This window comes from Homo sapiens, chromosome 6 (assembly GCF_000001405.40).
Source record: "Homo sapiens chromosome 6, GRCh38.p14 Primary Assembly".
NCBI classification, from domain to species: Eukaryota; Metazoa; Chordata; class Mammalia; order Primates; family Hominidae; genus Homo; species Homo sapiens.
In genome coordinates, this window is record NC_000006.12 from 117,940,658 (window position 1) to 117,960,206 (window position 19,549).

Sequence of the window (19,549 nt, forward strand, 5' to 3'; positions counted from 1 at the left end):
TGTGTGTGTGTGACAGGGTCTTACTCTGTCACCCAGGCTGTAGTACAGTGGCATAATCACAGCTCCCTGCAGCCTCCACCTCCCAGGCTCAGGTGAACCTCCCACCTCAGCCACACGAGTAGCTGGGACTACAAGCACATGCCGCCACACCCATATAATTTTAGTATTTTTTGTAGAGATGGAGTTTTGCCATGTTGCCAAGGCTAGCCTCAAACTCCTGGACTCAAGTGATCCACCCACCTGGGCCTCTCAAAATGTTAGGATTACAGGTATGAGCTACCATGCCTGGCCCAAAGATGTGGTTTTTTAGATTATTTCACACATCTGAAAACTTCTCTTCAAAATACAAAATGGCAACTTGCATTTATATTTATATGATGCTCACTGTTACCTGAAGGCTGCATGTCAAATTTGATCCCTGGTCATGGTTTATCTCCTTCTTCGTTATTTTAAGACTTGGTGTCCCCATGTTGGCTATGCTGTTTACATTTGGGTTTAAGAATTTAAACATATTTTTCTGATTTATAGATTCCATATTAAAGAAAGTGTTTCTTAAAGCAAAATGAAAGCTCTTGTACCTCTTGAGAAAAACCTGTATTTAGAATCAATTATTTTTAGTTTTTTTGGGTTAGATGAGAAAACATATTGGAAAGAGTTTCTGGTATTTAAAAGTTTTTAGAAGGAAATGAGTCCTTCCACATTGTGTACATTCATGGTAAAGCTCTATCTTTACTATTCAGTTCTATGATCAAGATAGACAGGCTTACTGAATAGGGGTCACATCTTTGATGAAACTATGAAGCCAAAGCCATTCAGTAACAATAGCAAAACCAATAGCAAATACTACAACAATGACCCTTCAAGTAAACCAGGAATCATAGAGGTGTCAGGGACATCTTACCTAGTTGTGACATGCCTACTTACCTTTAAGCCAGTGGATTTCATTCTTTTCTTTTATACAATATTATATTTGCCTTTGGAGATTATTGATTTGGTTACTAATATTGCAATAGATTAGTTTTCAGTTAAGAAACAAATTCATTCCATGGGGTGAATTGTTCAAGTATCACTAAAAATTTGAGCCTATATTTAAACACCATTTATATTTAATAGTGTTTCTTGTTTACTTGAAGCTTTTCCGAAAGAAAACAGTCCTGCTCCCCCAATCCCCGATGTGGGATTCCCCATCCACATATGGAAAACCTGGATAAAATTAGCATGACTCAGTAGTTGTTGTTGATCACCCTGGAGTTATCTAAGCAGATATTCTTCTTCATTGTATCATCATTAGGTTAATAGTAACCTTATATTTGAATACATCTGTGTGCCAGGAAGACCTTTTTCTCAAGATCTTAAGCATCATTGTCATGGAGGAGAGTAAAGTGTCAGAAAGGTCAATGACATGTATTTTATCAAAATTATCATTTAATACTCTCAACAACACTTTGCAGTATCACATCTTTTTACAGACATTGGTACTTACCCAGCAGAACCTCAGTCACTTGTTTAAGATGATGCAGCTGGTGGTAGAGTGGGCTTGAATTCGAGTCTCACTGACACCAAGGCCCATGCTCTTGTTCTGGGATTCTGACCTAATTCTATTGTTGTTACAGAATATGAATTACATAGACACTGAGAGCTTAGATATTGTAAATATCCAGGAAAGGGGGAGAAGAGTTTTTTGAATATGTAGTCAAGAGATCAACATCACTTCGTTATAGAATGTTTTGACCCTGAGAATGTTCATGACTTTCTGTTCATAAATTTAAATTTTTAAAACTTAATTAACACTGGTTAGTCTAGTCTTTTCTAGAATTAACCTCCATTCTATACAGAACAGCTAAATTTCACTTTTTATGTCCATCTTAGTTTAATGGGATTAATTTCATTGGATGGCTTACATTTTGTATAGCTTTTAAAACAATAATTTAACATATTATTCAACTTTCTGGCATGAATTAAAATGTTAACGATTATAGCTTCTGTTATTGAAATTGCTGTTTCATGAAGTCCAGACTTCTTGGTCAAATATTGGCATGACTGAAATTTTACGAGGAAGATTTAATTCTTCTATCAGTGGTTAGCCACTGCCAATTTTGTGTTATTTCTACTAAATCTAGTTTTCTAAAATTGGTGTTGTAATTATCATTGTTGTTAGCAAAATCACATTTGACGTTTTAGCTATTATGAACTTTATTTTATCTTACTTATTGTTACAAGTAATGCATTTGTTTAGAAATGAATTAACAGCCTGTAGTTTTTATTTATTTCTTACCCAAGCCCTGAGACAATTATGATCAATTTCTCTTAGTTCACAGTTTATCCTTTGTCAATATACCATGCCAATCTCAATTCTTTCAGTTCTAACACAGTCAATAGTCAAGTGCCTCTGAGACAATTTTTTCCTGTCAAATGTACCGATCTTGTTATCGATCCATTTTGGATTGGGTCTTGCCGATCCTGTTAATGGATTTCTAAAATACAGAGGAGTGCTCTATTTCAAATTCCATTTGAACGTGACATGTGTATCTCTAACCGAATTGTTTGGTAGTTCATTACTGCTGATTGACCAGACCTGTGGAGGTAACCAAAACACATTTCCTGAATCAATTTAAGTGTTATTATAATTTTTCTAGTATATTAACTGCTAAGGTCTCCAATGAAGCCCTAGCTTATAAGTCGGAATTTAGGCAGGTGACACAATCATCTCCTTTGCATGAGCAAAATACGTGTTATCAGATGTGCTGTTAACATTTTCTGCTCCAACTTTCACTGAATTGAAAAAAACTAACAAATTTAATGTCAGGAGAAATTGAACAGTTGTTTTAATGCCTCTTGTTGAAGTGATGGACATTGATACCATTGTGAAATTTTGTGTAAAGTTCTTATGGCTTTAAGAATACATCAGTAGGAGGTCAGAAATAATTAAAATTATCTTTCAATGGAAATTTACTAAATCCTTGCTAAAAGAGTTGGCTCTATTTGAAATATTTTATGAAGGAGGTCTTTTCATGTGATTGTTGAAGTGAACATGAGGACTACTGGCCAGATCCAAACCAAATAAAAGTTTCCCATATTTGTAGGTCTGAAAATGTTCTTGAACCTCAGTTTAAAACCATTGATTTTGCTGGAGCTAGAAGAGATTCCTAAAGCTTTACATCACTTTTTATCATTACATCTGGCTTTAGTTGTTTTTCTTTTGCCTACTCTTATGTGCTCTGATAAACACATATATGAATTAAAGAGTGTTCAAACTTTGTAAGTATCAGTCATGGCAGCAGGAACTCTGGCAACAACACTTCCATGAGAATGTTTCTTCACCATCCATAGATCTGATCTTTTCATGGGGAATGTGAAGTCTAGCTTTGCAAGTGTGAAAAAAAGCACTAAAAATTGATGGTTTCATTGTCATTTATTTTTGAAAAGCAGAATAAGTGGCCATGATATGATAATTTTCTGTAATTATATTTGATACTCTTGTTGTCCTATATTTGTGGTTGCTATTCAAATATAAAACTTGAACAATTATGGAGAATTATTTCTATAATTGAACTTAGTCCTGTTCTTGTGTCTGTTTGCTATCAGTTTGCTTACTATATGCTATCTGTATACATCACTGGCAGTTCAAAAACCATTAGCAAAGAAAAGATAAACTGTCTGTGTGTAGGGAAGGGAAGAATCATCTCAGAGATCAACCTTGTGAGGTCAAAATATCCCACTTTGTTGCCAAACATAGTATAAATTTGGTTGTTAGGCTCAGAAATTCAGAGCCATGCTGCAATTGAAAAATGCTATGAATAGCTTAAAAGTTCAAAATATATTGAAAAAATACTGAGTATTGAAATGCTAGTTATTATTTTTGTTTTTATTTTCTCAGAAAAGCTTTCAAGTTTGTTTTTTGAGATCCCCCTCTCCCAAAACACACACATACACATACACACACACACACACACACACACACACACAGAATATATTCTAAATGCAAACACATGATACGTATTAGTTGATTTGTTTCAACTTACTTTACTACCATCCCTATGGATGCATCTGTTCTAGAGAGAGAATGCCTGCATATAAACAAGAGAAATTTAACTAAACTTTACAGGATTCCAGTTTTAAGGAGTAATTTGTAAGCAGTTTTTGAGATGTGATTCTTATTTCAGTATGAAGCCATTCTTCTTTTAGTTTCAGTTTTGTTGTCTAAATCTGAGTGCTTTTACTGTGTTCCCAAATGGTCTGGATCTGTCTTTGACAAGGTACAGCAGGCTTAGGGGGCAGAGGGCATTTGTTTAACAGGTATTAACTGAGTGCCTGCTCTGTGCCAAACACATTTTTGGGTTTGGGGGAAACAACAGTGAACAAAGTAGACAAAAATCTGCATTCATGGAGCTTGCATCCATTTGGGGGAAGACAGATGATAATAAGTTACATATATAAATATATATGGTATGGTAATGGCTGAGGAAGATCCCTCTTGGCAGGGCATTTGGAAAAGCTGTGGGGCTCCGAGGGCCAGTGCTGTCCCCATCCGTGGGTCATCTGGCAATTGCCCAGTCCTCCTCTAATGCTGCTCAGTCTCAGTTGAGTTGCACTACTGACTCTTCTTAAGTCACTTAGAGATGAAGTTGGCACTATTTGGAAAGATCTGTTGCAGCAAAGGGTATGTTTTTCCTTAAGTTATTTGTTTTCCACATATAGTCACAAATTTACTACTATTTATTCAGTACTTGCTACATGCATTGTATGGCTTAATCCCCATCCTGCAAGGTGGGCAGTAGTCACTATCCCATTTTACAGATGAGTAGATTGTTATTTAGGAAGAGTAACTCATATTATGGGTATATAATACTCCTCATAGCTTTTCTGAAAAAATAAAAGTTAAGTGCTCATGATGACTATTTTAGAGAGAGTTGCAAGAGTTTAAAATGATCACTGCTTAAAAGTTAGTAGCAGCATTCTTTTCCCGATTCTCTAGTTTTTAGACCTGCAAGTAAAGACATGCTTTCAGTATTGCAGGTTTAATGAGACTCTGCTGTCTTTTCCCCACTGATGCCATGCTTCCTGGAGTTGCCATGTGTCTTCACAGCAGGATTGAAGGGAAACCCTTTTCTTCTGCATAGTAACAAGCTTTTGCTTTCACTTTGTAGGACCATTTTTAATTTTGGAAAAAGTGTAAGTTGCTCAATATTATGGTCCCCCAGAGTGAACTTTTAGAGATGGGTCTCGGAAGATCTTAAGACCAAAACATCAAAAGAGAGAGACCAGGGTCCTAAGAGAATATGAGAGTTGTTAAAATCATGAGCATTTTCCGTAAGCTGCAGAGAGTTTTGAAAGTAATTGCAGTTTATGTTGTTGTCTTAGAACTGAAGAACAGAAACTCTCTTTCTTTGTGCTCCATTTTCCTGACCAGACCTTAGTGCAAGAATAAAAGGAAAATGAACTGGATTGTTTTCCCTGTGGCACTCATTTTCCTCCCTTCTCTTCACACCTAGCTTCCAAGTCCTGACCTGTTTCCAGATACTTTTTTTTTGGAAAAGGTTGAGGTTTGAGTAGGAGAAGAGTAGTCTAAATGGGTTTGCACCTACTCCCAAAAATATGGATTTAAAAATTATTATCTTAATAACAATGACATCCATATAAATAAACTGATTATGAAAGCAATCTGCAAATTGCCAATCAAATATAATTCTCACAACAATTCTAAGATAAAAAATAATGGCTGATTTTGTGCTTCTTAGTTCAAATAAGAGTCAGCTGAAGTTTTGAGAGATTGATGCATCTGCTCACAGAGGTCCTAAGGGCTGGAGCTTGGGTAAGAATTCAGATCCTATGACATTTAGTCCAGTGTTCTTCAGTTCACTATTACTTTCCAATTTTAAGCTGTCATAAGTTTGAGAGACCATCTAATATATCTCTCTTTGAGATGACAACCTACATGTAAACTCTTAAGTGGTTTGACCTAGAGGAAAGCCATTAGTGGCTAATTGAAAACTCTGTGCTTTTTTACATTACCAAAGAAGTGTGAACTTTGATACAGTACCAAAGAAGGGATGAATTTCTGTAGAAAAACATTGACCTTTTTGCACACTAAGATTATTTAGGCCACCCCACCTGATACTGAATTTTAACTATTGCAGACGTTTTTAGAAGTTATGGAACACTGTCATTTGTTTTTATTTTCAAAAAGCAGTCCATTTTCAACATGGAAAGCTGTTAATTTTACTGGTTCATGCATTCATTTAACAGGTGTTTACTGAGTGCCTGCTCTGTGCCAAGCACATTTTTAGGTTTTGAGAAAACAGTGAACAAAGTAGACAAAAATCTGTTTTCATGGAGCTTACATCCATTTGGGGGAAGATAGACAATAATAAGGTATGTATGTAAAATATATGGTATGGTAATGGCTAAGGAGAAGAATTTGAATTGGAAGGGTAATATAAAGTATGGAAAGGGTAATGAAATTTTAGATGAGATGGTCAGGGAAGTCCTTGTTGAGAAGGTGACTTTTGAGTAAAGACTGGAAGGACATGAGGGAACAAGCTAGTTAGATATCTGGGGAAGAGCTTCCCAGACAGAAGGAACCAGAAATGCAAATGCCTGAGCCCAGAGGTGTCTTGGATGTCCAGAAAATAGCAGGAGCCCAGGAAGGCTGGAAAGTACTGGGAGGACAGTGAGAAATGAGATTCTAGAGATGAAAGGAGGACTGGTAATTGGAGAAGGGCCCCGCAAACCATTGTAAAGACTTTGGGTTTTACTCCTAGCACAATGAGTCATTTGGGGGATTTTTTAGCAGAGAAGAAGTGTAATCTGATTTATAACAGCTCTCTGGCTGCTGTAAAGAAGAGACAGTCATAAGTGGGCAAGAACAGAATTAGAGAGATCACTTAGAATGTAACATCTAGATGCAAGAGAATGGCAACAGTGTCAATAATAAAAGGTGGTAGGATTCTGCATATTTTGAAGTTAGAGCCATCAGGATTTCTGTACTGATTGGGTGTAAAGTATGAGACAAGAAGTGTTAAAGGTTTGTCATCAATTATGATAGGGAGGGTGCAGTGAGCAGGTGTGGGGGAGGACCAGCAGTTCAGTGTTGTATTTGGAATGTATAGTATGTATTCATGTCAAGTTGTTGAGTAGGCAATTGAGTATAGGAGTCTGGAGCCTGAGAGAGGTATTGCCAAGCATACACTTTGAGAGTCATTGTATAGTTGATATTTAAAGCCATGTTACTGGATGAAATCTCCAAGGAATTGAGTATAGATGAAGGAAGAAGAGGACCAAGGACTGAGTGCTTGGTCACTCCTATATTAAGAGCTCAAGACGAGGAACCAGCAAAGAGATTAAGAAGGAGCTATCTGTAGCTAATACAAAAACATTTTGTGTATTACTAGATTTAATTCATGTTTCAAATTTCTTTTCATTATGAAACAAATGACATTCAAGGAATCTGAAAAAGTGTGGCCAATGGTTTAGGGAAAACCCAGGAAAATGTTCATAAATGACAGGGCTTTAACCAAGACAAATCTTAACTGTGTTAAGTAGCAAGACTAAGTGCATGGAGGTTGGGGTGAAAAAGCAATACCACTTCATTTTTTTTACAGTACTTAAGACCTATGAATTCTAATTTCTTTGGATTTGAACTGGTACTGAAAAATTATTTAAGCTACCATATCTTGATACTGAGTAAAGAGTACCTACTCCTTTACTTTACTCTGAGGTCAAGTCCCTTGCTCTCTAACTCACGTTCATATAATTTGGGGAAGGATTGGTTATTTTCTCTCTGATTTGATTCCCAATTATCTACTTTTCTTCTGGTGCTTGAGTTTAAGAGCATTCTGGTTCTGGTGGAGGGTCTAGACTTGTCATCATAGCCCTTATTCATTTATGTAGCAAACATTGTCCAGAATCTATCACATATCAAGTTTTGCATTTGACATTGGGGATACAAGTATCAAATAAAGAGCTCTGGCTGCTGTAAAGAAGAGACAAATGATACAAATAATACAATTGATAACTGCCTGCCCTGAAAGAGTTCCCATTCATGTGTGAATGAGCAATTATAATATAGGCTGATGTGTGCTATAGTGGAAATGACTATTGAGAAGGGATTCGTTAAGCAAACTCAAGGGAGAGAACAAGCAACTTCCTGGTAAGGGTTGAAGAGTACTTCACGCAAGAGATAATACTCAAGCTTAATCTTGAAGGATCAGAGTTTCTCGGGGACTAAGACAGCAAAAGATATTCCAAGCAGGGAAGCAGTACATGGAAGGGGAACTTAGTACAAAAGAGGAAGGACAGAGTTTCAAAGACATTTGGTGGATAAAATCAGAAGGGTTAACAGGAGCTGGATCATGAAGGCCATTTTATGCCCCAAGCGGGGTGCTATTCATAATGCTTTTTGTGTATTTACCCACTGAATTCTGAAACAACCCTCTGAGATGATACAGTATTTATCCAATTTTTGCAGATATGTGTCCTGAGGCATGGAAAGATTGAGTGGTTTTTCAAAGTCTTATACTCTGGGATGTTCCTTAACTTCACCAAGCATCCAAAACCTGGAAGTTAGTAAGAAGAAATGCCAGTTCAGAGTTGATAGTAGAGCTGTAATACGTTGTGCTTCTGATGCTGACAATGTTAGTTCATTAGTCTTAACATGCTTCTCCAGTATTTTCTTCTTGAAATTATTAGGAATAATAATACAAATGATAACCATTACAAGTTATTGTTTATTCCTCTCTTGGCACACCTGCTGTCTTCCATCATATCCAATTTGACAAGCACTTTATTATTTTTTTCGAGTAGTTATTTCCCCTCTTTCCAAAAATTTGAATTTAAAGCCTCTTTGTTAGGTTGGTAAACCTTCTGCCAAGGTGTGATTTATGTGAGACGCCCTTGTGACCCTTTCCAGCAGTCCACGGCTCAGAAAAAAAGCCTCCATCCTTTAACACCATTCCTGGAACTGACTGTTTACTATGATCATTTTCATCATGTAATTATCGCCTTCAGGTTGGACACAGTTTGAATATGTTACTTGTTCACCTGTGTCAGTGAAGTTTTTGGTTCATAACCTATCACTGTAGGTTTCTACTGAGTGATTTGCAAAGGGTAGTGTGTGTGGCATGGGACCAGGAAGTTGGTGCACCACCTGAAGAGCCACAGAGGATTTACGTTTGGTCATCTTTACTCTCTGTCTCGGGGATAACTGGGTTGGGGGGTGGTCTACGCACTTGATAATGTATCCTCTCAGGTGTTGTGCAGAGTGAAGTGTTTCTCCATCTGCAGGTCTAGAATCGTCCCCCACCCACTCTGGGCAAAGTCTTACCTCTTTTGAGTAGCTCTTTTGGTGTATGTAGCTTTTTACTCTGTGTTGCAGTCTCCGTTCACAGCCCTTCATTTGGGGCTTGATTCTATGCTACCCATTTTCTTGCCCCATACCCAATCTTGTTCTTTGGGGTGTTGTTTCTGGCCGTGGATTATTCATTTTCTTTAATAAGCTGGTAGAGATATATTCCTCAAGATCTTTCACATTCTTTCCTAGCAACGAGTTTGACTCTAAGTGGCAATAAGATGATTGGGGGCCCATACATCTAGCAAGGGCATGCCTGAAATGGCATTTATTGTAGACTCTACTGACTTCTAGATTTTGGATGCTTGTGGAAGTTAAATAATATCCCAGAATGCATACTACTATCATCCTGAGGCTTGAACCATGACTGGCTGGACTCCAGAGACACAGTTCTCTGTTACTGTGTTCTGCTGCCTCTCCCAGTTCTTAACATTAAGGACTAGTGATTTTGATTTTGCTGATTTTGTTTGATAAGCACTTATTGAGCATCATTTATTGAGTACTCTGTACCAGCTGCCATGGAAGATCCTTGGCATATATAAATCTGTGCCTTCAAGGGGCATCACTCTTCAGTAGAGTGACTCAAAAGATGGATGTGAATGACAATGGCTCTGGCTATTGACTTACTTCAAACATTCTTGGCACACATAGCCACAGATTAAAGTAAAATAGATGATTTCCATTATAAAATTAAGATGATAGATATAGAGAAACCATCTGAAATAACGTTTACAATTTAAATGAGTATTGAACATTAACAGTAAACATGATTAAAACATTTAATTTGAAAATGTGCAGTGTTGGAATTATAATTCCTTAAATTACAGTTAAGGCACAGAAGAAAGCAGGTGTTGAGACATCAATGTTGATAAATAAGGGCCTTTAAAATAGTCTAAGTCATTTCTAAGAAATGGAAATAAATTTTTTTCATATTATTTAACATATAGTCAAATAATACATTCTTAAATATGTCTAAACTAAAATAAAATCACAGACATGTACAACTGAATGAATTACTTTACTATTCACTTATGTCTAGATGTTCTATTCTTAGGCTCGAATGGGAACATTTCTCTTCATAAGTTTTCATATAATTTATCTTGATAGCATGAATGCAATCTATGAAAAAGATGTATTGTAGGGTTTGCACAGAGCCCAGAATCCTTCCAGAATGTACTGAGGGAGCTTTGGAGAAAGGCTGGAAAAGTCTAAAGATTTGTGGATGAAATTCAAAAAAGGAAGGGCTTAATCTGTGCTTTTACAGGAAGAAAAACAACAAAAAAACCAAAATCATACTAGAAGGAGTAAAGAGTTTTCTGCTGTTTGAGGTCGAAAAACTTAGTTATGTGTCTTGATAATGGTCTAAACATAAAACTGTCTTGGAGATGGAAAGAACAAATCTGACTTAATAGAAATTCAGCAGTGTGATTTTGTCTTGCCAAGAAAAAGAAACAAAATGAGATTTAGTTGTTTAGTAGAATTGAGTGATGTGGGGAAAATTAGGAGTATGTATAAGATACAATATGAGATGTTAATATACTCCAAGAAAACACAATAATAACAGAAGTAAAAGTAAAAGAAAACATTTCTGCAAGTTGAAGGCATGATCTAATTTTTCTTTCTTTTAAATTTCTGGCTTCCTTGAAAGAAGTGTTAACCAGTTTGCTTCTTTGTGCTGTGCAGGACAAGGAATATGCTAAGGATAAGAGACTGGGGAAAGAGCCCTGTGCAAACCCAGGCTAGTGTTCAAGGACCCCACACTAATGCTCTTTTGACTGGAGCCTAACCTTTGCCAAACAATGTCAATGGTGCAAGTAGAGTGGGTGGGAGAGAAGACCTAGGGAAATGACAAGGGATTCAGTCCTGATTGCCAATGGACTGCGCCTAAAGCTATCCATTAAGCCCAAGGGATTTCCTGCAAAGTGCCAGTGGAATGCAGAGCTTCTGAAAGGAACCTGAACTTACAGCTGGAGTGAATGCTGCCTGAGTTGTGGCTGCCAGCCGGCAGCCTGCCTCATGCTGTGTCCTTCTGCAGAGCAGCCATCTGCTGCAGCATTAATGAATGTATCTCTCTCATTTTGTTTTGTTTTGTTTTTTTGACAGAACAATAGCTTCCATGGTGTGATCTGCATTCCGATGGATTGAGTCCTTTGCTCACACTTGTGTGTGTCTGTATGAGTGTGTGTGTGTGTGCATGTGTAGGGCTGGGGAGGAGACAGTGTAAGTCTGAGAACTCTCAGGTGGGGCCTTGGATGTTTTCAAGAAGGTTAATGTTTTAAGTTTGTTTTTAATTAGAATGTTCAATCAATTTTTCCTCTGGAGACCTGTACCATGGGGCTGCTCCTCTTTACTCTACATTTTGCATATCTGTTGTCCCCTTTTCCATAGCCTGAATGCTAAAGGATGGATTTGCTTCTTTCAGAAAATGCTGGTGAAGTATAATTCTGTTAAAATAAAATATTTAAGAGGATTTTTCTTTTTCTTAAATCACCTGACATTAACTTGGCTTGATTAATCCCTTCTTGTTCCTCTTGCCTTGGCTGGTGTCTGTAAATCCATTTGGCTGCCTTTGAAGCAGTAGCAAGAAGAACCCTCTGTAGCAACTGTCAATATTTCTTTTCCCCGTGGTGTACATCAAACTCGAGACTGGAGACAGATTCTTCTTAATTACAAAGGAGAGAAAGAAACACCCCAAAAGACAAATCAAAAACTTTACCAAGAGAGGATTGATTTGGTCTTCAGTCTAATCATCCTTAGAAACAGAGAAAATCCTATTTTGCCCATCAATAATGGCCCTGTGTTTATAATTTTTAGCCTACCAGAACTAAAGAAGAACCTAATTTGGGGAAAAACTTTTGAAGATTGGTTATTGGGCTCAGTGAAGTCATCTAGTTTCTGGTTTTCAACAAAAAATTATTTCAAACAAAATATTACTGAGAACCTTCACCTATAAACCAGATACAGTTGTAACTGCTCTGGTTGAAGCAGAGAGAAGCGAGAGAAGTGAGCAGGAAGTGGGCACTGGTCCATGTTCATGGGCTCCACTGGACAGTCTGTAAAGATACTCATTGAGGGTATTTCTTTTTCTTGACACTGATGGTAGAGAGTAGTTGTTATTGTTTATTTTTATTCTGCCTTTTAACTGTTTGCATAAATGTTATTTTATATCCCTCATTGGTATCCTTTTCTCTCATCATTTTGGGCTACATTTGGCAGAGAATGTAATAGGTGAGAGCTAAAATCTCTTCCATTCTAAAATTCAAAGGCAAAATACCTTTACTTTCTTGTGGTTATATGTTGACATTTTCTTACACAGTTGTCACATGACAACCTTATTATTTGCTTTATTTTTTATTGAATTTTTTTCTAAATATGGCTTTGTACACATATATATCGACATGTATTTATTTATATACATGTCATATACATAAGAGACATGTTTGTATAACTCTTCCATAGTTCTTTCTGAGAGACACATATATCTAGTGGTAGACAGTAATATGGAAAATCTTGAAACTCCTATTTACAAATCCACTTACCAATCCCTGAAAAAATCATTTTTATAGTCCACTTACCTGTCCAGAAGCATGAACAAAACCTCACCCAGTGTAAAAGTTGTTGTTTCCCATCTGTGGGTCAGCCAGGGACCAGAACAGTAGGCCAAAGAAGCAGACATTTGTAGTTACATTTGTATTTGTCTTATAAGTGAATGTTCCAGAGTCCCCAAGTGGTTCTGGACCCCTACAATCTGGGAGTATGGGGAGATTCACATCTACAAGTAGGCCCTATATGAAGGTGTCTAAGTAGGTGGGTAACCTGCCATTGTCATAATGGGGCACAAAGCAGATAATTTATTGTTAAAACTGGGATCATTTTGAGAGTGATAGAAAGGGAACATGAATGGGATCCTGAAACAACAAGTTACCACCCAGGGCATGTGGTCAATCTCCTTGTAATTTTTGCTATCTCCCAGGGTCCCGTGGATGAAGAGAATCTTCAGCCTTATAGATTTCAAAGTATAGTCTTAGGTTGTATAAGCAATTATGAAGAAAACCTCAGCAACTCCAGAAAAGGAAAGCAGTCATATTTTTGTTAAAGCAAACTGATGCTTTATAGCAATCTTAACAGGTTACAGTGGCTTCATCTTGATCATGGATTATGAAAGCAGTGCAGTGAGAGAGCCAGTTGAACAACCATCAGTGTAATGAACATGGTGAATATGGTGACCAAGAAGACAAGAGTTTGTTTTTTTTCTTTTTCTTTTTTTTTGAGACGGAGTTTCGCTCTTGTTGCCCAGGCCGGAGTGCAATGGTGCAATCTCGGCTCCCTGCAACGTCCACCTCCTGGCTTCAAGGGATTCTCCTGCCTCAGCCTCCCGAGTAGCTGGGATTACAGGCACCCGCCACCATGCCTGGCTAAATTTTTTTGTACTTTTAACAGAGATGGGGTTTTACCATTTTGGTTAAGCCAGTCTTGAACTCCTGACATCAGGTGAGCCACCTGTCTCCATCTCCCAAAGTGCTGAGATTACAGGCGTGAGCCACTGCGCTTGGCTGTTTTTTTCTTTTTAAAGAGTCACTGAGATAATGCTACTTAATCTAGACCTACAGAATTAAAATATCATAAGTTAAGAAGTAGGGCTGGCAGGTGGAAATTATTCTCTCCGCTGGATATTTGTTCTACTGCATCCTAACATTTGAATATGCAGGAATCTGTGGACCCAAAACTTCTGTATGAAGGCTCATGATCCAGACTTTGCGTTCAGATGGTCTGATGGTGCCTAATCACAGGCTGTGTCCTTTGGTTCCCAGTTTTCTTGTCTATGTAAATGGCTAAATCTGCAAGAAATACAGTGGTGACCCCAAGATTTTCTTACTCATTGACTGTTATATGCTCAGTATAAAATTTGGAATGTTAAGCATATTCTCTTGTAATTCTTTGAAAATATTAAATATTACCTCATCTATAATTTATTTTGAACTCCAATTAGCCTTAATATTAAATTAAACTTCACCATGTATTCCTAGACTATTCCAAGTACCTGGGAGCTAATACTTCATTTAAAAATGTACCATGGGTAAGTTCTTTTTTATAGTTAATACATTTTTTAGCATTAAGTTGACTAACATTTTTACATGACATTTATGCAACTTCATCTATTATGGATTAATTTGGCTATTTTATATTTCAGGACTCATAACTCTTGATTTTCTAAGAGATTTTTAAATTGCTATTGCCAGAAGAAGTACCTTTTAGGAATTACAAGCAAAAATGAATACTTAAACTGCATTTTTAATACTTATTTACTCCACAAATTATGGAGATTCTGTTTCCAAAGCTAAACTTGGAACCTATTGTTCAATGCGTGGTCTGACAAGTGGTCTTGAGAAATGGATTCCTGTTTGGAATCAAGACTGTCTAGCCTGTGGATACCACACTCAGAGAGGCTGACACAGTGCTTTGCATAAGCTAGAAGAAACTTGCTGGAGTGCAGGATTGTATTGTGTCTGGCTTCAAGTTCTTCATTGCTTCTTTGGGTCTTGAAAGGACACTTGATGCTCCATGGTCAACAATTATAGACAAGATTTCCAATGCTGTTCCAAGAACTTTCTCCATCTCACCACTTCACCAGAGACCCAAGGTGAAGAAAATAAGTTAGAATAATCAGGAACTGGAAAGGGTGAGAGAAAAATGGGGATTGTGTTAGGATTCAAGCCCAGTGTGATCTTGCTTCAGTCTGGTGTTAGCCACTTTTTCTCATGCATGCCTGTGCTGACTCAGTTACTACCCTTGTTACCTTGCTCAATTTAAAGTTTTGTACCTGAACTCAAGTGCAAGCACAAGTACTGCCTGAGGGTAGTCTAATGTAATAAAAAGCAGAAGTGAAAACATAGAACTAAGCACTGAAAAGCAAATGTACAGGCATTTTATAACTGGAAGTTCATCTTCCAATGCCACAATAGTCATTAAGAGAAACAGCATGAGGGATCAATATCGTGCTGGCTTAAACCAGCTAGCTGTGCTCTGGCTCATGGGGATGGCAATGTTTTGTCACTTGGGAGAGTATGAGTTGCTTTATAGGAAGATTAAGAACCTCCAACCAGAGCTGAATGTAGTCCCTGCTTCCAGGCCTACTATTACATGTCTTTTCTGCAGTTGTATTGGATGCCCCAGGGTAGTGCACAAATACCTGTCTTTCAGTTCACAAACAGGTGTTGGCTTAGGAGTGGGGCAGGGTATCTTCCTACCGCACAGAATGGAGCACCTCAAGCTCTTTGTCTCCAGCATTCACAGCCTTCTGGACAGTGGACATCAGGCTTTCCCAGAAGGTGAGCAAGCCCTGATTCTTTGCCTTGCCCAGCTGGAGAGAACATATAAGGGGCAATGCAGAGCAATGGTGCTGTCTTTTGATGTGCTGTTGAACTGCCTTTTGCAGGGAGGATTCTGCCCCTTGCATTGTGGATGTGAAACTGTGATTAAACCTTCAATGAGTGCTGCTTTACTAGGCAACGCGGGGACAGTGCCTGGAATCTAGTCAGTTCATTGATAAAACTCGAGGTTGAAAGCATGACTGTTCCTTTGTGTAAGTGCATCCAGGCCTTATTAACGGGCCACTGCCCAACTCTGCCATCTGATTCAGCCACTGACTAATAGGAGACATTGCAGAGGCCATTTTAAAGTGCCTACAAGGGAAGCTTTTAATCTCTTATTGGAAAATTTCAGGACTCGCCAAATGTCAGTAAGGCCCCTGTTGGTAGGTTAGGATTTCAGCAGAGACTGTGGACAGTTAATATTTAGGCAAATATCCAGGAGGGCAGGGAAACCCTATCCTTCTCAGTGCACATATTTTCTGTATTTTCTTCAAGCAGCTATCTAACTTCAAAGTCAGGCATTTGTCATAACTCTTACCATCAAAATGAAAGCTGAAAAAGGAGAGAAGATGAATAAGGACATCTATTTCTTCCACTTTGGTCCATGGAGCAATATTCTAAGCCTGCGGTGATGACTTCCTTCCTGGCCCTGGGAGGGTGCTTTTTCTTTAGCCATGTGCTTGGTGGGCATCTCTCCTCCTGACTCGGGTATCCTGAGTGATTTGTGACTCTGCCTGTGCATCCAGCGTGTCATCATTTTTTCTTCCATCTTCCTCAGACATATTTCTGGGTAAAACAAATATTTATCAAAAGAAAGAATGACCCCAATCACCCACGTGAATATTTTAATATTTATTGATTCTAATTTTTTTTGGTCACTCTTCATCTCTTCTAGAAATACCTTTGTCATTTTCAGTTTTCAGAGGTTAGTGAGCCTCAAACTATACAACACTGGAGCCCTGTGCTTTAGAAAGCCACAAGAATTAAAGAAAAAAGAGCATCAAAGTGTAAAACATTGTAATGGTACTGAATATGTATAAGAATTTTCAGAATAGTTTCTACCAAGCATCCAAAAAGCTTGAATTTTAGATGCGATCTTGATAGAAATATCTGAAAAACAGTTTTGTCATACAGTCCATTGTTCCTTTGGACTATTTATTGAGAAATATGGAAGATTTACATAGGGTTATATAAAGTTGTGAGTCCTTGGTACTGGCTGTTAAGATATAGTCATGTGCCACATAATGACATTTTGGTCAGTGACAGACTGCATATACAGTGGTCCCATAAGATCATAATGGAGCTGAAAAATTTCTATCGCCTAATGATATAGCCATTGTAATATTGTAGCACAAGATACTACTCATGTGTTTGTGGTGATGCTTGTGTAAACAAACCTGCTGTGTTGCCAGTTGCATAAAAGTATAGCACATACAATTATGTACACTACGTAATACTTGATAATAAGTGAACAAGTTACTGGCTTATGCATTTACCATACTATGCTTTTTATTGTTATTTTAGACGGTACTCCTACTTTAAAAAAAAAGTTAACTGTAAAACGGCCTCAGGCAGGTCCTTCAGGAGGTGTTCCGAAAGAAGGCATTGTTATCATAGGAGATGACAGCTCTATGAGTGTTATTGCCTGTGAAAGCCTTCCAGTGGGACAAGATGTGGAGTGGAAGACAGTGATATTGATTATCCTGACCCTGTGTAGACCTAGACTAATGTGTGTATTTGTGTATTAGTTTTTAACAAAAGTTTAAAAAGTAAAAAGTAAAAATAAAAAATTTTAAAAATAGGAAAAAGTGTATAGAATAAAGATATAAATACAAATATTTTTGCATAGCTGTACAATGTATTTGTGTTTTAAACTGTTATCACAAAAGAGTCAAAAAGTTAAAAAAATTAAAAGTAAAAAAGATATAATAAGCTAATGTCCATTTGTTATTGAAAAAAGGAAAATTTTAAAAATAAATGTAGTATAGCCTAAATGAATCACGCTTATGGTCTACAGCGGTGCATAATGATATCCTAGACCTTCACATTCACCAACCACTCACTCACTGACTCACCCAGAGAAACTTCAGTCCTCCAAGTTCCATTCATGGTAGGTTCCCTGTACAAATGTACCATTTTTTGTCTTTTATACCATATTTTTTCTGTACCTTTTCTATATTTAGATATGTTTAGATACACAAATACTTACCATTGTGTTACGATTGCCTACAGTATTCAGTAAAGTAACATGCTGTACAGGTTTGTAGCCTAGGAGCAGTAGGCCATGCCACAGAGCCTAGGTGTGCAGTAAGCTATGCCATCTCGGTTTATGTAAGTACATTCTATGATGTTTGCACAAAGAGGAAATTGCCCAGTGATACATTTCCCAGAGTGTTTCCTCATTGTTAAGCTACACATGACTATATACTTCTTTATATGTTTAAAGAGTAACAGTTTTACATCTCACTTCGTTGACAATTCTTAGTTAGCCACAGAGTGTTTCAGTGAAAGACTATAGTAAAATACTCATTCATTTGGTAGAACTTTGCATTTTGAGAATATCTAATCCCTAATTTGTTGTTACCGTAACTGTGGAATTCCTGTTTTGGAGAGATAGTTTAGTGAACTAAGAGCATGGACTTCAGAGGCAGGCTGGTTGGTTTAGATTCCAACTTCCACGTGCTTGTTGCAGGATCCTGGGTGAATCACTTAAACTCTCCCTGCATCAATTTCTTCATTTATAAAATGAGGATATTCAAAGGGCTGTTATGAGATCTATCAAGCTGATCTAAATCATGCATGTTCCCTTGAACAGTGTGACACATGGGAACACTACACGAGTGTCCATTATTTCCTAACATTGTAAGTCCCTTAAATGGGTATAGTAGTGCACTCTGAGCAGGATGGGGAACTGCAAGAAGAGGAGACTGAGGCAGCCTCCTAGTTCTCTTGTTAGGACTGTGTTTGAGAGTTGAGTACCCTCCTTTTTTAAGCACATTGTACTAAATGCTGTCCTCCAGGTCCAGGACTTATGAGTGAGACTTCCATGTTACAAGGGCCTTTTGACATTTCAGTAACAAAATCTCTGTCTGTAGGGCCAGAGGCAAAGTTTCCCAATGCTCAGCGTGTCATATCTGAGGGAAAGAAAACAATTCTAGCATCCAGAAATAGACATGTCTTGCCATACCTGAGATGTAGGAAAATTAAATGAAATATATTTGTACATAATACATAGATATAAAGGTAGGATTCACTAAACACACTTTTTGGATGAATAATGTGTGGATTAAGAAAAGGAATGCACAATGGCATTTGAAATTCCTCCCCTCTATGTACAGTTGAAGAACAGTCTGCTGAACCAAGAAGTTTCGACGTATAATACCTGACATATATAAATGCATAAAGAATGCTACTTATAAGTTAAAACAATTATTTTTGATCCCCCTACTATGTGATAAACAATTTCACAAGCTTTCTCAATTAATATTCTCCATAGATATATGAATTATATGTTATTTTCATTTTTAGAGAGAGGAAAACTGAAGTCATGAGAGATTTATTTGAGGTTATAAACAGCTAATAATTGACAAGGCAGCATTCAAATCCAGGAATTTCTGACTCTGAATCCACACACTTTTCAGTATCATCTTACTCTTTCAAGGATAATTTAGTTCAGTCCAGTGGAAAATTACTAAGCCCCTATTGATTGCAAGGCATTGAAGAGGGTGCTAGGGTTATGAAACAAACCAGACTGGCATGCTCCCTGCCTTCGAGGAACTGATAGTCTAGAGGGGTTGACAAATATTACAAACTATCTATGTTTGCTTCTTTC

At 37.5% G+C, this 19,549-nt stretch overlaps 1 protein-coding gene across 2 annotated transcripts in view, besides 1 other annotated feature; it reads left to right on the top strand.

Moving 5' to 3' along the window:
- Positions 1-19,549, top strand: part of SLC35F1 (solute carrier family 35 member F1) — a 410,408-nt gene that overhangs the window by 33,394 nt on the left and 357,465 nt on the right. The window lies entirely within an intron of this gene.
- Positions 14,649-15,848: an enhancer, noted in NCBI's record as "CDK7 strongly-dependent group 2 enhancer chr6:118276469-118277668 (GRCh37/hg19 assembly coordinates)". NCBI's record gives its function as "activates an origin of replication core promoter dependent on BRD2, BRD4, P300/CBP, MED14 and CDK7 cofactors, with strong dependence on CDK7, by STARR-seq in HCT116 cells {active_cell/tissue: HCT116}" and the evidence as "EXISTENCE:reporter gene assay evidence [ECO:0000049][PMID:35650434]".